Raw genomic sequence first — 19,139 nt, forward strand, 5'->3', positions numbered from 1 at the left:
GACCGAGACCATCCTGGCTGACACGGTGAAACCCCATCTCTACTAAAAATACAAAAAATTAGCTGGGCGTGGTGGCAGACACCTGTAGTCCCAGCTACTTGGGAGGCTGAGGCAGGAGAATAGTGGGAACCCAGGAGGCGGAGCTTGTAGTGAGCCGAGATCGCACCACTGCACTCCAGCCTGGGCGACAGAGCGAGACTCCATCTGAAAAAAAAAAGACAGAAACCAGGATGAAGGAGATACCAAGTGATGGGGATGGTGCAGTTTAGCAGGGCTCTCTGATAAAGGGACATTAGAGCAGATCTCAGTAAAATGTAAGGCTGGAGGTCTAGGCCTGACTCCACCTGGCAAGTTAAGGTTTCTAACCCAGATGTCCTCCTGCTTGTCTGGGACCATGGGGAAGTGTTGAAGAGCCACAGACCTGCTCTCTGGTAAAAGAGCTTCCCAGACAGTGGGTCCCCAAGAGCACAGGCCCAGCTGAAACTGCCCAGGTGTTCAGGAACAGCCAAGAGTTTTATGGCTGGAGTGAGGTGAATCAGGTTAGGGTGGGAGGAGAGATCAGAGCTCATGAGGGCCTTGGGAGTCATCTGTGGTCCTTGGATTTTGCTCTGAGGTCATTGGAGGGTTTTGAACAGAGGAGTGATATGACCTGACATTTTACAAGGACAATTCTAATTGCTATTTGGCAGACTGTGTGGGGCAAACCTGGAAACAGGGAACAAAGTTCAGGAGATTTGCAAACATAGTAGTCAGAGGGCCTAGGTGGTAGCAATGAAGGTGGTAAGAAGTCCTCCAAGCCAACAGGATTGGCTGCTGAATTGTATGTATGATATGAGAGAAAGAAAGGATTCAAGAATGATGCTCCAGGTTTAGCCTTAGCAATTCCAGCTGCCATTTACTAAGATGGGAAAGAATGGGGATGGGAGCAGCAGGTTGAGGGAGGGTATCAAAGTTCTGCTTTGGAGATGTTAGGTTTGAGGTGCCTATTGGGTATCCACATGGCAATGCCAAGAAGGCAGTTGGAAATTGGAGTCTGGGACCCAGAAGAAGATGTCTGGGCTGGAGATGTAAATTTGCATACAGATGGTACTTAAAGTCGGGAGGCTGAGGCAGGAGAATGTCTTGAAACCAGAAGGTGGAGGTTGCAGTGAGCCAAGATCGCGCCACTGCACTCCAGCCTGGGCAACAGGAGCAAAACTCTGTCTCAAAAAACAAACAAACAAACAAACAAAAGATGGTACTTAAAGTAATGAGAATGGATAAGATTACCTAGGGAGTGAGTACTGGTAGAAACAGAGGTGGTCTAAGACCGAGCCTTGGCACTCCACTCGCTATCTAGAAGTTCTTTCAGGCAGATCTGTGGTATAGGAGAGAGACTCATTTGGGTAAACTGAGGCCTGGGTTTCAAATATGTTAACTCCTCCCTACAAAATTCCCAGCCTTCAGGACCTCAGATCCTTAAGAGGTGAACCAAGGCACCCCAGGGCCACTACAGGAAAGGAAGACAGAGGCCTATTTCATGTGTGACCTGGGCAAGTCACGTATCCCTCCCTAGGCCTCAGTGGTCTTTGTAAAAGGAGTGGTGAACGCTAGGTGTCTGAGGGACCTTCCAGCTTGCTTGCATGCAATGAGTTTTAACTCCAGAAAGTCGGTGCATTCAGCAATTGTGACTGGCCTTGAGAGACGGTTGAGTTCCTGTCTCATTCCCCTCATCTGGCTCTCGTTGTCTACCACATAAAGTTGATCCTTGCTATTCACGGATTCTGTATTTGCAAATTCTCCTACTACCTGTAATTTATAACTCCAAAACCAGTACTTGTGGTCTTTTGCCAGTCATTCGTTGACATGCCCAGAGCTTCAAAAACTTTAGCCCGCTGTGCTTGTTCTTAGCTGAGGTCAAAACCAGGCTCCATTCTGCCTTCTTGCTCCAGCTCTCACATTCTAAACAAGTGTCCTTTTCACAGTCTATTTAGTGTCACGTTTTTCCCATTTTTATGCTTTTTATTGGTGATTTTGCTGTTTAAAATGGCCCCCAAGCGTCGTGCTGAAGTGCTGTCTAATGTTCCTGAGCATAAAAAGGCTGTTATGAGCCTCACAAAGAAAATACCTGTGTTAGATAAGCTTCATTCAGGCATGAGTTAAAGCACGTTTGGTTGGCCATGAGTTCGATGTTAATGAATGAAAAATATATAGTGAATAAAGTATCTTTAAACAGAAACACACACAAAACAAGGCAATGTATTGATTGATTGATGAAAGTGGTATGACCAGAGGCTCACAGGACCCTAACTCTATATTTCCCCTTGGAATAATGCTTCAGTATTTGCTAATTCAGTCTTTACAGTGATTTATAGAATGTAGCCACTGCAGTGTGTGAGAATTGACTGTATTAGCTTGTTTTTTCAATCCCAGTATGCACACACATAAAGTAGTTTCAGAACTGCTAACCCATACCTCTGTGAGGAGCAAATTTACTTACTACAGTACAGTACTTGTGTATAGTTCTTTTTGTTTTTGTTGTGTAACAAAAGCCACATTCAATACAGTTCTTATCTTTAGTCTTATAGCATACACTCGAAACTGTTTTCCAAAGTTACTTCTGTTAGTTATTTTCTTTTCCATCTCTTTCAATATTAACTATATGGTTTATTTGTATTACAGTTTTATTTCTTAGTTTGTATTCCATTTTGGGTTCCCCCAATATTCGGGTCAATTTTTAAACATTTCCAGACAGTAAAATTCACTTTTTATGGTATGTGGTACAATAGGTCTTGAGAAGCATAGTTATGAATTTACTACCACAATCATGATAGAGAACAATTCAATTACTTAAAAAATTCCCTTGTCCTGACTCTTTATAGTCAGCTTCTCTCCCCACCACTAACCCCTGGCAACCACTGATCTATTTTTTGTCCCTATAGTTATGCCTTTTCCAGAATGTCATATAGAAGAAATCATGCAATATTCAACCTTTTGGGCCTGACTTCTGTCACTTAGGAAAACGCATTTAAGATTCCTGTATGTTGTTGTGTCAAGCAGTAGTTGTTCGTTTTTATGGCTGAGTAGTATTCCACTCTAGCACTGTTGGACGCACCACAGTTTGTTTATCTATTTGCCAGTTGAAGAATATTTGGATTATACCAGTTTTGGGTAATTATGAGTAAAGCTGCTATACACATTTATGTAGTGGGTTTTATGTGAACATGAGTTTCCCTTTTTCTTGAGGTGGGATTGTAGTCATATGGTAGGTGTTTATAAGAAATTGCCAATTTGTTTTCCAAAGGGGCTGTACCATTTCATTCCCACCAGTAATAATGAGAATTCCAGTTGCTCCACAACCTCACCAACACTTGGTATTGTCAGCTGTTTTTATTTATTTGCTATTCTAATAGGTTTGTAGTGGTATCTCAATGTAGTTTTAATTTAACATTTCTCTAATGACTATGATGTTAAACACATTTCCACATGCTTATTTTTCATTCCTATATCTCTTTGGAGAGGTGCTTATTCTAATCTTTTGTCCATTTTTTTTCTAGTGGTGTTTGTTTTCTTGCCTTTTTTTTTGAGACAGAGCCTTGGCCTGTCGCCCAGGCTGGAATGCAGTGGTGTGATCTTGGCTCACTGCAACCTCTGCCTCCAGGGTTCAAATGATTGTCCTGCCCCAGCCTCCCAAGCAGCTGGGATTACAGGCATGCACCACTACGCCCAGCTAATTTTTGTATTTTTAGTAGAGACGGGGTTTCACTATTTTGTTCAGGTTGGTCTCAAACTCTTGACCCCGTGATCCACCCACCTTGGCCTCCCAAAGTACTGAGATTACAGGCGTGAGCCACTGCGCCCAGCCTGTTTTCTTATTGTTCTGAGGATTCCTTCCTTCCTTCTTTCCTTCCTTCCTTCCTTCTTTCCTTCCTTCCTCTCTCCCTCTTTCTCTCTTTCTTTCTTCAGAAAGAGTCTCACTCTGTTGCCTAGGCTGGAATGCATTGGTGATCATGTCTCGTTGCAGCCTTGAATTCTTGGGTGCAAGGGATCCTTCCACCTTAGCCTCCCAAGTAGCCGAAGCTACAGGTGTGTGCCACCATGTCTGGCTAATTTTTATTTTTATTTTTGTAGAGATGGGGGGTGTCTCACTATGTTGCCCAGGCTGGTCTTGAACTCCTAGAGCCAAGGGATTCTCCTCCCTCAGCCTCCCAAAGTGCTGGGATTACAGGTGTGAGCCACCACACCTGGCTGAGGTTTCTTTAGATATTCTGGATAAAAGATGTGATTTGTAAATATTTTCTCCCCATCTGTGGCATATTATTTTTTATTCTCTTAACAGTGTCATTTGCAGAACAAATTTTAAATTTTGATAATATCTATCTTTTTTTTCTTTTATGAATCATGATTTTGGTATTTTATCTAAAAACTCGACTAACCAAGGTCTCAAAGATTTTCTCTTATGCTTTCTTCTAGAAGTTTTTTAGTTTTACATTTTACATATGATCTGTATGTAAACTGATGCATTTATTTATTTATTTATTTATTTATTTATTTATTTATTTATAGACAGAGTCTCACCCTGTTGCACAGGCTGGAGTGCAGTGGTGTGATCTCAGCTCACTGGAACCTCCGCCTCCTGGGTTCAAACGATTCTCCTGCCTCAGCCTCCCGAGTAGCTGGAATTACAGGTGCACACCACCACCCCCCGGCTAGTTTTCTTGTATTTTTAGTAAAGATGGGGTTTTGCCATATTGACCAGGCTAGTCTCAAACTCCTGGACTCAAATGATCTGCCCACCTCGGCCTCTCAAAGTGCTGGGATTACAGGTGTGAGCCACCACACCTGTATAAACTAATGCATTTAAAATTAATTTTGAATTAATTTTATAATAACTTTGAGAGGCTTAGATTGAGAGTCATTTTTTTGCCTATATTTGTCCAATTATTCCAGCACCATTGTTGAAAAGACTTACCTTTAAGTGGTCTTTTTTGCATCAGTTAAGAAAACAGATTGAGTTCCACAAAGAATTGAAATGGTAGAAACCTAAAAAAGCATATGGAAGGTGAGGGGATCAGAGAGATGGTCCATGTACCAAATAATTCAGCAGCTGCTCGAAATGAGAGGTGGTCAAGAGGACCTAAGTCACCTAGGACATTACAGAAATCGAGGGGAGGCTTTGGACTGCTCACAAGTCATTAAATGAAGAGAGGGTTGTTGAGCCAAACTTAGGCAGATCTTCACGGGAAGAATGAGCCTCCCTGATGTCCCCGTACCTGCAGCAGTGAGGTGTGTGACTTCCCGGGGCTCTGGCTCCTTGGAGTGGTGGGGTGAGGTAGATGCTGCAGCCTGGACTGGAAGCCAGAGTGACTCATCAGCCCAGGGTGAGCATCTCGGGGGGATGTTGTTTTGTTTGCTCTCGCAGTGAACCCCATTACAATAACAGCACCAAGGTGTCCCGGTGCTTTGACTGTTCTCTCCCTGGGCTCCTAATGGAGATTGACAGAATCTAGAGTCCAGGGTAATTCTATTGTCAGTTTCAGCAGCCTCCTGCACCTCATTAGACACAAGCAGAGAGAAATGAGCAAAGAAGGAATGTCAGCCTCAGAACAGAGGGGGCCTGCTAGAGTAAGCAGCTTTCAGGAGATGACAAGGTAGTGAGGAAATTATCCGGGCTTTCCAACTGGCCCCTCTAGGCTCTAGGTGGGAAATCGGGACGTCTGTGTCACAGCTCTGCAGAACAGAGCCAGCATGAATGGTTCAGTTTCAACTGCAGTCCCTTTTCTTTGAGGGACAGCATGAGGGGAGGCTAAGACAGACATCTTTTGTATTGTCAGCCTTTGTGTTAGAGGCTCCTTCCGGTGGTGGGGCCTAGCAGGGGAGGTGTTTCTGGGTGGCTTGGGTTTAAGTTGCAAGTGGATGGTGTCAGGGGTCAAAGCCTTATTTGATTTATCTAAACCTTTAGGATTTTACTCAGGATGGATGAACTGTATCCAATGTATAGGGAGAGAGAATCCTAGGCCTATAAGAAAGCTGGAATTGATCATTGTCCCACACTATATCTTGTTTCCCAGCCTTGGCCAGAAACACACACAGATTTACGTAGATAAACATGTAACATACTTATCTTAGTGTGTTCAGGCTGCTATAACAAAAATACCTTAGACTGGGCAATTTATAAACAACAGAAATGTTTTTCTTATGGTTCCAGAGACTGGAAAGTCCAAGACAAAAGCACAGGCAGGTTTGATATCACGTGAGGACCCGCTCTCTGCTTCCAAGATGACAGCTTCTTGCTCACGTGTTGGAAGGCGCAAGGTTGCTCCTTTCAATCCCTTTTATAAGGGCATCAATCTCATTCAGGAGGGCACAGCCCTCATGACTTAATTACTTCCCCAAAGGCCCCACCCCTTAATACATGACATTGGGTGGTAGGTTCCAATATGAATTTTGGAGGGAAACCAACATTCAGACCGTAGCAACACCCAACACTTATATATACAAGCTCATGTACAAATACACACAACACTAATGCTTCTACTCATACTTTTTTTTTTTTTTTGTTTTGAGACAAGGTCTCACTCTTTCACTCAGGCTGGAGTGCAGTGGCTTGATCATGGCTCACTGCAGTCTCAAACCTTGGGCTCAAGCAATCCTCCCACCTCAGCCTCCCAAGTAGCTGGGGCTATAGGCATATGCCACCACACAGCTAATTTTTAAAAATTTATTTAGAGACAGGGTCTTGCTATGTTGTCCATGGTGGACCCGAACTCTTGGCCTCAAGTGATCCTCCCATCTTGGCCTCCCAAAGTGCTGGGATTATGGGCATGAGCCACTGAGCCTGGTCCTCATAGGTAATTTTAAATACACAGAACACTAGACCAGACGTGTGCCAGTTACACATACAGGCAACACACACAGGTCCATGCTGAAGGCATTTCGCTACAGAGTTTTTGTCTGTGGCTTATGACATCAGCCTCTTTGCTTTCTATTTACATCTTGGATATACACCGCTCACACACACATTCACACCCACCCACCATTCTCACAATGCACAGCATGCACTCAAACACCCAAGCCACAAACATGTTCACATATACACACTCTGCAGTCAACATTTGCCCAAACATACATGCCTCTTCTATTTTCACCACGTGTGACCAGTTGTGGTCATTCAGATGCCTGCCCATCCTGTGTGTCACACCTACGTATGCCTCTCTGGCACACTTGCAACAGGCCAAGCCAGTGTCTGCACAGACTAGCAGAGCAGAGAGTGTTTTCCACCTTCTTCCTGTCATTGACATGCAACACCTGTCCTGTCTTTAGTTTTTTGCACTCTGGCTTCGACTGAATTGAATGCCAGTCTGCCTGGCACAGAGCCCAGCGCAGCAGCCCAGAAGCAATTGTCCTGTGGGCATAAGCCTCCAAGAGCCCAGAATGGGTGCACGCCAACTCTGGAGGCACCATCAAGGAAAGAGGCCTCTGTAGGCGCCCCCCACCCCTCATTAGTGCTCTAGAGGGCCATGGATGAGTCAGCACATGGCAACCTCTTTTCCTCCCTGCCTTTCTTCTCCTCAAAATTCTGGTCATTTGGGTGTTTCAAGGCCTTTGCCAAACAGAATGAGTGAGGCTTGAAAGAGATACTAGCTTAGAAAATCCACCATCAGAGTCTGGGCCATTGAATTTTCCATTAGCCTTCGCTTGTGCATTTCTGTAGCCTCATATCTAGAACAAGTCTGGAACAGTAAAACTTCACTGAATAAATACAAGTGTATGTTAGCCTATGAAATAGGACTAATTCTGCTTTGTCTCTCAGGACTATCTATAAATCATAAGGAGCAATGCAAATACCTTATGAGGAATTTTTGCTATTATTGTGATCAACACCAGGTAGGTAAATCATTTCCTTCCCCACTTCACACGTTTCTGTCCCTACCTACTCCTAGCGCCTTGAACTAGCTGTCACTGAGATAATGATACTAGTTACCATTATCGAGCACCTATTCTGCTCCAGGTACTAGACTAAGCACTTTACAAATATCTTGTTCTATCCTCTCAACATCCTTGTTAAATAAATATTACTGTCTGTATTTCATAGTCTGGAAATTTGAGGTTTTAAGGGGCTGAGCAGCTTGCCCAAAGTCACACAGCTAATAGACAGCAGAGACAGGATTTGAACTCAGGTCTTTGCTTCTCAAACTCATGTCATCCTCACTTCACCAACCTTACATTTATCATCATCAGCCATAGAATGCAAATTCTATCCATATTTCTATTGTTTAAGCCTAAACCCCCTTTTCCGTCTATGTCCATCTCAATTTTAAACTGTAAGCCAGGCTATAAATAGCAGGAACTATGTTTATTGAATTCATTTCATAGTGTTCAGCATACTTCCATAGTGTTCAGCATATTTCTGGGAAAATATATATATATGTATACACATACACACACACACACACACACACATATACACATATATACATAGAGGTTACTTTTTGTTTAAGTAATGGTTCCATGAATTTCACATTGTGTCTGAAGCTAAGAGACTAAATTCTAGCTCTTCTTAGCAAAGAACAAACTATAAAGAGATGCAGTCTGAAGGGAAAACAAACTGTCTTTCACTATAGCATACTTCTGTGACCAGATGCATGGGGGCTTTTCCCTACACACCAAGAAATTCTCCAGCAGACACCAACTGGGTGTCCTATAATTCAGTTCCATTCTGGCACCATCTACTTGCAGTGAGAGTCAGATCCCACAGCTGATGGCTCAGTCCCACAAGATTGCCCCCAGTTCAGGTGCCAATCACACGACTAAGGTTGTGACCTGTGCTTTTGACCAACCAACTATAAGTTGGGGTTCCCAAGACCCCCTCCTTGGTTTCAATTAATTTGCTAGAGCAGCTCACAGAACACTTACTTTACATTTACCGGTTTCTTTTAAAGGATATGATAAAGGATACAGATGAGCAGCCAGATGGAAGAGATGCACAGGGCAAGTCATGTGGGAAGGGGCGCGGAGCTGCCATGTGCTTTCCGGAAGATCCACCCTCCAGGCGCCTCCACAGGTTCAGCTGTCTGGAGCCTCCTGAACCAAGTTTTCTTTGGTTTTTATGGAAGCTTTATGACATAGGCCTGATTGATTACATCATCGGCCATAAGGTATCAACGCAACCTTCAGCCCCTCTCTCCTCTCAAGAGGTTCTAATCATACCATGGTCTTTCTGGTGACCAGCCCCCATTCTGAAGCCATCTAGGGGCTCCCAGCCACCAGTTTCCTCTTAGCATCCAAAAGACATTCTTTTGTCAGAGATTACAAGGGTTTTAGGAGCTGTATGCCAGGAACCAGGGACAGAGACCAAATCCGTATTTCTTATTGCATCAGGATAAAACACCTGGGTTTGAATCCAACACCATCACCTATTAGCATCACCTATTTGCTCCTGTCATTTTCTCTTTCTGGCCTCAGTTTACATGTTTGTAAAATGAAGTTCTGGATATGATGACCTCTTGGGTTCCCTCCAAAGATGACTTTCCAAGAGTCTGCTGTTTTACATGCTACCAAACGGAAGTGGAGATCTAAAATTTCATGTGCTCACGGAGTGGGCCACTCCCACAATGCCATCTCCCCTCCCCTTGTGTGACTGTCTCTGGTGGTCTGCTCCTGAAAGAGTACACAAAGTCAGGATGCAAAGTCCTCTCACTGGAGAATGAAGACACCGTTCATTCTGGTGTTTGTTCTGCGGAGCTTCCCAGAGCTGTAGTCAGTCACCTCACCCCGGTGCCAAACACTTGATGTGCTGACTACTCCCGTGCTCTTAATAAGCTTATAGTCCGGAGAGATGATTGAAGGGCTGGGAGAAGAGGGCTGTGGAGGGACAGGACCAGCTGAGGACGTGGGTGGTCAGACTCCTAGATTAACAAAGCCTACAGATGCCTGTTGACAGAAGGGAAGGAGACAGGTTCTCACTGATAGGAAGACAGCAGCAATGCAGGTACGACTCATGTGTCCATTTCCTGTCATCTGCAGGTGCTTGGTGAGACAGTGTCACCGTTCTGGGAAGAGCTAGTCTGGGAGAAGGAGTCAGGATACTAGACCTGTCTGTGAGGCACTGGATGACTCCAGGTGAGTCATTCACCTTCCCCCCGACTCCAACCCTCCCAAATCTTGGTGTTCTCATCTTTATGGACCTAGGTTCTTTGACACCTCATTAATCTGAAGGTGGAACCAAAGAATGCACACCATAGAAATGGCTACATCAAAGACTTCATCCCCAAATACATCTCTTCTGGTTCAAAAGCTTCTTGGAACACAAGCAGACCTGACCCTCCTCCTCTTCTGCACCCCATGATGTCCACCCCCTGCCCTCTGTCATTCTTCACTCTCTACTCTACTTGCCTTCTCTCTCCCTTGTGAATCTCTTGTAAATGGAAGTCCTGGTCCCAGCAGCGTGCTGGTAAATGTTTAACAAACAGCTTTGAGACTGGGGGGAATGCCTGATTTGTAGGGCTTGCCAACTGCCAATTGTAAATACTCCTGCCATGACTAATTTCAAGATACCAAATATGACATCATTGAATGCAGAGCCAGGAAAAGAGTCACAGTAGCACACTGATGTATAGTATTTTCACCATACACATAGAACAGGAGTAAATGACCTCAAGAACACAGATAATATAGTCAAAGAATTAAGAATTGATAACATTAGAGTATTTATTGCCTTTGCTTTTAATATCACTTATTAAATTATAAGTTTATGTAATTTACTTTTCAATAATGGTGTGTTTAACAACTGGCTCATTAAATTCCTGAAAAATGCCTGGTCCTCCCCTTTGGATCTTTCCAGATGAGACTGTACATCCCCAAATTTGCGGGAGTACATAGTTGAGGCCCTTGCTGTGGGAAGCCTCTCAGGGAAAATAGGAGCATTTATTTCTGCATGCCATTTGTCTCCCTTTATTAACTTTAGTTTCTCTTCCTGTTATATAAGACATTCCTTGTAGATTCTCCTGCCTTTGTAAGGATGGTATTGAGAGAAATGAAATCAGGGCAGTAGTAACACCTTGCATCTTATGGAATCTTCCAGTTTACTAAACCCAAATCTCATTACTTCTCACAGCAATTCTGTGACGTGAGGTATGTGGAGCAGTTAAATTGCAGATGAACTATTTCACACCAGGTTGGCAAACTGTTTCTGTAAAGGGGTAGAGGCTGGGTGCAGTGGCTCACACCTGTAATCCCAGCACTTTGGGAGGCTGAAGCAGGAGGATCACTTGAGCCCAGGAGTTCGAGACCAGCCTGGACAATGTGGCGAAACCCCAACGCTACAAAAAATACAAAAATTAGCCAGGCATGGTGGTGCACTCCTGTAGTCCTAGCTACTTGGGAGGCTGAGGTGGGAGGATGGCTTGAGCCCAGGAGTTCGAGGCTGCAGTGAGCCAAGATTGCATCACTGCACTTCAGCCTGGGCGACAGAGTGAGATCTTGTCTCAAAAAACAGTTAAAATAAAATAAATAAACAAATAAAGGCATAGAGACTAAATATTTGAGGCTTTGCAGGCCATAAGGTCTCTGTTGCAACTACCTGGTTATTATTGATTGAGAGCTGCCACAGACAATACGTAAACAAATGAGTTTGGCCATTTTCCAATAAACTTTATTTATGGGCTCTGAAATTTGAATTATATATAATTTTACATCTCACAAAATGTTATTCTTCTCTTGATTTTTTCCAACCATTGAAAAATATTTTTAAAAAACCCATTAACTCACAGGCCATATAAAAACAAGCCCTAGGCGCCTTTCTCCCATGGGCTGTGTGGGGTCCCTGTTCTTCGCAGCTAAGGCTGGAGGCCAAGATCAGCCTTTGAGGACTGTCATCAGAATTGCCTTGCTTTCCTGCCTCAGATGTGAAAAATAAAAACAAGCCCTAGGCAGAATTTGGCCTATAGGCAACAAAAGAGGAAATTAAGCTTCAAAGAGAACAGTGACTTGTTCAAGTTCATCTAGATCGGCAGAGTTGGTCCTGGCATGGTTCCAAATCCCCTGAACTTTCCACTAAACCCACCTGCCACAAAAGGTGCCCCTCCTGCTCCTCAACACACCTTCTGGGACCTGCAGGTGGATTCTCCACTGGGGACCTTCTGTAACCCACTAAGTGCTTTTGGGCCACTTTCTCTTACTGCCCGTTTCTGTCTCTTTAAGTGTGGTGAGCCTTCCCATGCATCAAAGTAAAAAAGAAAAGGCGTTTGGACATGTATAGTCAGGCAATTTGCTCCCCCTCCATTAAAGCAGAAAATAAAGAGCTCACTGTCTTTATGACTGTTGATTTTATGATTCCGTCCTATTTTGTCACAGGTATCCTAAATTTCCACCAAGCAGGGACTACCTGTTTGTTATTCTGTGTCTTCAAATGTCTAGTCCAGCACTCTTCCTGCAGGACACTTGGGAAAGAACTCGGTGACTAATGATTAAGCTCCCCTCCAGCCTGGCATTGTATAACAAGAGATGGGTGTGACCCACCTGTGTGATTTATTTCCCCTCAATATGTTATTACGAAAAATGTAAAAATTCAGAAGAGTTTAAAGAATTGCACAGTGAACAACCATATGCCCACAATCTAGATTCTATAACTAACATTTTGCTATATTTGCTTTACCCCAAATCTGTTCATCTATCCATCCACCAGTCTTTTCTTATATTGTGGACACATTTCAAAGTTACAGACTTTGGTACACTTTAACCTCTAAATACTTCAATATCATATTGTTAATTAGAGTTCAATATTTGTTTATGCTGCTTCTTATTTATTTTTTGACCTGGTGGAAATGTGAAAGACTCTGGAGGCTGCCTCCAGAATATAGATCCCCACCCACTCCACTGACCCCTGAAGAATTTACTTGGGCATTTCTTTCCTTATAGCCTTTCCAAAGCTTTGACAATCCATGCAAATACCTTTGGTAGAGATCACTCATTAAGTCCACTCAGTGGTGGCTGGAATAGTGGCAACAGCCTTCAGTCAGGCCTGGGTTTGAATCCCTCTCCACTCTGTCACTCATACTTGTGTGCCCTTAGGCAAGTTTTTTTTTTTTTTAATTTCTCCAAGCCTCTTCACATGTAAAGTGTGGCTAATAATAACTGTCTTGTGATAGGAATAGTGAGGACTGCAAATTCAGAGCTACCTGTAAATGGCAGCGCAGTAGGATAATGAGAAGAGATATTAACTGTGTCCATTTTCCTGACTATGGATTTGTCACAAAAGAATGAGAGCTACTTCCAACTTCACCCCAACTCCATTCAGGGAAGACTGTCCTAGCTGCGTACTAGATTTAGGCTCTTCTCACGCGGGTGGAGTTAACAGCTTCTCCATGCTTCCACTGTAATTTAAAAAGACAAAACAAAACAAAGCCCACCTTACCATGCTGAGGAGGATTTGGCTCCACAAGAGAGGGGAGGGAGGCTGCTGCTGACCTGGAACTGGGGAGTGGGTTGAATCCTGTGGCAGAATGTGGGGGAGTGAGTGACGAGGCGGCGTGTGTGGGGGTGAAGACCTGCGCTCCATGCCCACACAGCCACCCAGGACACAACAGAACCCCTTCTGGGGTCTGGGGGATGATGGCCAAGTTAGCATGGAGGAGAATAGATTGTGAACAGCCCTGACCTCCTCGAAGGGACCCTATAGGTTCAGACAATGAGCAGAAGCCTTTCTCCAAGCTCTGCAAATTGAGTGACCACCCTGTTAAAGAAAAAAATTGGCCGGGTGCAGTGGCTCACGCCAGCACTTTGGAAGGCCGAGGTGGGCGGATCACGAGGTCAGGAGATTGAGACCATCCTGGCTAAGATGGTGAAATCCCATCTCTACTAAAAATACAAAAAAGTAGCCGGGAGTGGTGGCACCCGCCTGTATTCCCAGCTACTCAGGAGGCTGAGGCAGGAGAATCGGTTGAACCTGGGAGATGGAGGTTACAGTGAACTGAGATTGAGCCACCACACTCCAGCCTGGGCAACAGAGCAAGACTCCAACTAAAAAAAAAAAAAGAAAAAAGAAAAGAATTATCCAAACGTGTGTTAAAGATGGCAAGGCAGACTTTATTCAAGGGAGGCCATGGCAGTAGGTATAGGGGCCACTGCAAAGATGTCTTATGGTGGGGGAGAGAGATCAGGCTCAGTTTCAACTCCAACAAGGGCAAGTGGAGATTTGTAATCAACCAATGGTCAGGGTTAAGGACAGAGGATGGAAAATTACTAGGAAGAAACATCAAGGGTAAGGGGTTTCTGGCTAAACTGACTTGACAGGATCATTGCTGAATGCAGGCAGGGGTGATAAAATATTGAGGATAGTCAGATAACAAGAGTGGGGAAATTTCACTAACCTGACTTAGCAGGATTCTTGCTCAAACTGGATTCTGAAAGGACATGGGGAAGCCCAAGGTCAGGCCTCGTCAAGCAGAAGACTCAGAGGCGCCGCCGGACTAAGGTTTCAGGGTGATGAGAGAGTCTTTGTCATTCCAAACACTCAAACCACCTTAGGGAGCATGGTGGAACGTCCTACCAGCTGGGTAGGTGGGATCTCAGAGTCATATCTCATTTGGAAAATTAACAATCCATCTCTGCAGCATTCACTCTTTCTTTTTTCTTCCAAAAATCTGTGTCTTGACAGATGTGCCAATGGGCAATGGTCACACGGTGGGAAGGAGGCAAGGACTCTAGAGGTTCTTCTACCAGCAGGTTTCAGGGACAGACCTGAGATCCCAGAGAGGAGAGGTGTGGCACAGAGTGCCCACCACCCCTCTGTGGGGAGGAAGAGAGCCCCAGGATGAAGCCAAATGGAGAGCGGGGAGCAAGCCAGGAACCGGCATCTGGAATCCCTTCACCTTCCAGCCGAGCCAAAGACAGCTTCTCCTGTTCCCACTCCTCTCCCAATCTGCTATTTCCTGTAGCCTGTCTGCTGGAGAGTAAAAAGACAAATGGAGCGTGAAAAAAAATTCAGCAAAAATAATTACAGGTTACAACAAATCAATTGGAAGTTTGTAAATAGCCTCAGGCAGGTAGCCGAGTCAGGATTCTGCAACTTAACACTGGCCCTCCCCTGGCAGCTCCAGAGTGAGTCCCGGTGACCTGAGACTGCAAAGGAGCCCTGGATGTGATGTCGGAGGATGTGGATGTGAGTCCCAACCCTGCTCTAACCAGCTGTGTGAATTTGGGCAAATGCCTCCACTCTTCCTAGCTTCGTTTCATCATCACTAAAGCCAAGATTTTGATTGTACCTACTCAGTATATCTTAAGGGCAGTTGAAAGTCAAAGGAGGTAATAGATGCAAAAGTGCTTTGGAAACTGTATAGTGCCAGACAAATGGAGCATCTTTTTACCTTCTGAGTATCTCTTGAATCCATCCTCCTCTCTCCATCTCTCTCACCAGCTCCAGCCCTGTCTCACCTGGGCGGGCGCAATGGCCCCCCTGCCGGCTGGCCTGTATTCACTCTAATCTCTTCAGTCGGCTTGCAGCCAGCACGATCTTCTAAAATCAAAACAAAGTCTGATCACGTACCTTGGGTTGTCTAATCCCTGAGAACTGGAGGCAAAAGTGGAATTGAGGGCTGAGGGTTAAAGGTAATTTGGATTAAGAGAAAGGGATAGAGCTGCAAAGAGGGGTGGGAACAAGGTTATACCAATTCACCAAGTATTCATGGGGGGTGCTGTGCTTGGTGTTGTGAGGTGATGTGAGTCTATTATAGTATCCTGTCCTTATGTTGCTCAACAATTCTGTGGGAAGACAGTTTGCAAAGAGAAAACTGTCGTCTCAAAGACCACTAGGATGGCTAGATGTAGAAGGGAGAGCTTTATTGGCATTATTGGTTTGCAAGCCGGAAAGAGAAAGTCTCTAATGTGGACTGAAGGTGCTCTCTCTTCAAAGAGGAGAAAGACAAGTTGGGTTTTATGCCTAACAGGGCCAGTATCATACATATTCAGCAGGTTTGGGGGGGAAGCTATACATATTCATGAAGGGAGATGACACATGCGCAATGGGTAAATAGATATGTTACAGACATCCCGTGTTCACTTTGGGGCAGGGTTTTAGCATTAAAATTTGGCTCTTTACATCAAAAGGTGAACTATAGGACACAAAGACAGTTTGTGCACAGCCTTTATAAGCTGCTGAAGCCAGCTTAAGGTCTGTAACTGCTTATCAGAAAAGAAGGCTTGTAAGGCCGGCCTTCTGTCCAACCAGAGTTATAGTGGTCTGGGTTTTAAATCAGCCTGCTAGCTCCTGTTGTTAGGGAATTTAGCAGTGGTGTGGTTTTTCTTATAGTTGTAGGAATTTAGAAATTTGCCATGCCAGCCAGGCCTTGAACCCTCCACCTGTAGGTAACTTTATTTCCTTACACTTAGGGTCTGTCTTAGCTGACACAGTGGTGTATATTTTGGCCTCTTGGATCACAAAACAAATGGAGTGAAAGTAAATGCAAAACTGTGTGCTTCTAATTGTAAAATACTTTTGTCTGTTGCAGAAGCTCAAGGAAGCTCATGGTGAAGCCCCGATTTGAAATGGGACTTTGAAGAGGAAGGTGACTACAACACAGAGGGAAGGATGGGCTTCTGAACAGGGGACTGGCTTGGGCTAAGACGTAGGGGCAGGGGGCAAGAGTGTGGGGAATATGCGGTGGAGAGAAGGTGCCAGCATGAAAGGGAGCTGGTTGGACTCTGCTGGAGAGCTGGCTGGGTGGTGGAGTCAGGTGAAGTAGGACTTCAAAGTTTAGCCTGAGGCAATGAGATCTAATTTAGACTAAATGTAGATCATCTGATGAATTATTGATTTGCTTCAATGGATAATTTCATAGCTCAGAAGTGGAAGAAGCAAGGAAGAAATGCACCACCCTGGACTTAACTCTGACTGGCCCCAGGGAATGCTTTTTGGCAATAGAGTGACCAGGGAGGGCCCATAGAGGAAGTCACTGTGTCAGCCTGGAGTGGGTCACAGCAAGTGAGGGCACCTTGAATATGGCAGGCATTAGTGCTAAGCTTGAGGAAAAGGCATTGGAAAAGGCCTGCTTGGGAAAACTGAGAGGTCAGGCTCCTGGCTGGAGACTTAGGAATGGTAGTGGTGGTTGCACAGGGAGATTCCCAGAAAGAAGATGGAGGCTGTGAAAATGGAAATCTGCCATGCAGTCACAAATAATTTCAAAGAGAGAAAGGCACTGCCTCTTCCCTACTTCTCTCTCTCTCTCTCACGCACACACACACACACACACACACACACACACGACACATACACACGCTGTCTGCTCCTCATGTCTGTCATTAGGCATTCAGGCAGTTAATTCTCCCAGACACACCACTGAGAGTGCTAGGAGCCTTGTAGAGTTGAAAATGGGTGTTGCAAGGCTCATTACAGAATCCCGGAGAAAGAGGATAAGGACAGGGATTTCCCCTCCCTCAGCCTCTGAAAGAGGCCCTGCACCTCCATTTCTACCCACTCTGAAGGCCCTGTCCATTATCCAGCCCCCAGCCCCTGGCTCCCTGCCCTCCTCTGACTCTGCTCCAGGTCCATGGTCATGCCCACTCCGTCTGGGTCCCATTTCATATTCCTAATATGAGAAAGATCCTGAACCCCCTAACTTTTGGAGTAAAGAGGGCAGAGGGGCAAGGTGACAGGGAAACAGCCTAGAGAGAATCCCAAACTGACCACACCACCTCTCTTTCCCATCAGCTCTAGGCCAGCATGGCTCACAAGGAAGCTGGGTGGCGTTTCTCCTCCTCTCCCACCATTGTGAAGGATCTTCTTGCTGCTAGAGTGCAGCGCCTGGTACAGAGCATACATTTCAGTGTTAAGTGAATGAGTGAATGTTTGAAGTGCTTATTAAGCACCCAGCCTGTGCCAGGCATTATCCTGCACTTGAAACGTATTAGTAAATCAAAGCCATAAGAATTCCTGCACGAGTCACGTCCACATTCTACTGAGGGGTGAAGGCCAATGAGCCAAGCACACGATAAACCAGTGCATTAGATACTATGTTGGGAAGTGTTAAGTGCTTGGGGAAAAAATACAGCAGACTAAGGGGGACGGGGGAAAGAGGGTGTTGCAACTTTAAATAGGGTGGTCAGAGCAGGTGTCATTGAGGAGGTGACATTTAAGCAAAACCTTGAAGAGGTGAAGAAGCACTGCAGGGAGTGTGAAGAACAGGAGCGAGGACCCTGAGGCGGGAGGAAGTGTGGCAGGTTGGAGACACAGCATGGAAGTGGTGTGACTGGAGCAGGGACAGAGAGGGAGCTGGGATCAGAGAGGAGCAGGAGTGAGTGGGCAGGTCAAGCTGACTTCCCCGGAGGTCTTCCTTGACCACGCTTGATAAGGCAGCCCCTTGGCCCAGCACTCTCCATCCCATTACCCGCTTTGTTTTCCTCATTACACCCGCACCACCATCTGGTGTATTCTGTTCTGTTCACACTGCCTGCCTCCCTAAGGAAGGATGTAAGGTTCGTGAAGGCAGGGACTTTACCCATTTGTTACCTGCTCTATCTAATGTCAGAACGGCTGGTGAGGGTGAAGAGGTCAGGATGCCTTCCACACCAGAGGCTGATGAGGAGCTGCAGCTCCTCATTCCTTGACTGCAGGAAACCCTTCCTGACCCAGGCTGATTATTGTCATCATGAAGGGAAATCTGTAGTGGTTGGCCACAGGGCTCTTTCATTGGCCTTGGCTGGTTGAGAGCAGGGATGAGCTGTACAGGCAGAGTCTTCTGTGAGGGTTGTCCCTGGACCTTCCTCACAGGCAGGCAGATGTTTTGCTTTTATTTGTTCAACAAACATTTGTTGGGCACCTACTATATGCCATGCACTGAGCTTACCGACTTAGGTTAGGTGGAGGAGGGAGGGACAGTTGGGATGATGCCACCCTAACCCTTTCCAGGCCCTCCCAGGTCCCAAGCTTCACTGGGCACATGAGTAGCATATGCCAGGTGCATGCCAGGCCTTGGGAATGCAAAGATGAACAGCACAGTGCCTGCACTCAATCAAGTTGCTGTCACTGTAGTAGATGTGAGAGACATGTAAACAACTGTCTGCAAATCCACTGTGATAAGTACAATGGCAGTGTATCCAGGTGACAAGGGGAAGGGGCAGAAAAGGTCTCAGAGGAGTGATGCTTGAGTTGAACTCAAAGTGGAGTG

The 19,139-nt window shown here is 45.3% G+C and overlaps 2 long non-coding RNA genes and 1 pseudogene across 3 annotated transcripts; 2 read left to right on the top strand and 1 right to left on the bottom strand.

The window, feature by feature from the left end:
- Positions 1-172: 172 nt before the first annotated feature.
- On the bottom strand, positions 173-14,901 carry LOC105371695 (uncharacterized). The gene is made up of 5 exons (XR_922456.3): positions 14,349-14,901; positions 8,896-9,912; positions 4,952-5,022; positions 1,270-1,357; positions 173-204 (listed from the first exon to the last, which is right to left on the bottom strand). It is a non-coding gene; the product is annotated as an uncharacterized LOC105371695 (long non-coding RNA).
- LOC105371694 (uncharacterized) lies at positions 9,836-17,771 on the top strand. 2 transcript variants are annotated; one of them, XR_922458.4, is made up of 3 exons: positions 9,836-10,101; positions 16,485-16,541; positions 17,684-17,771. It is a non-coding gene; the product is annotated as an uncharacterized LOC105371694 (long non-coding RNA). The 2 variants fall into 2 exon arrangements; XR_001738412.1 differs by lacking the exon at positions 9,836-10,101 and adding an exon at positions 15,361-15,585.
- On the top strand, positions 11,774-11,889 carry LOC124900453 (uncharacterized; annotated as a pseudogene).
- Positions 17,772-19,139: the final 1,368 nt, after the last annotated feature.

The sequence above is a fragment of the Homo sapiens genome, chromosome 1 (genome assembly GCF_000001405.40).
Source record: "Homo sapiens chromosome 1, GRCh38.p14 Primary Assembly".
Classification (NCBI taxonomy): domain Eukaryota; kingdom Metazoa; phylum Chordata; class Mammalia; order Primates; family Hominidae; genus Homo; species Homo sapiens.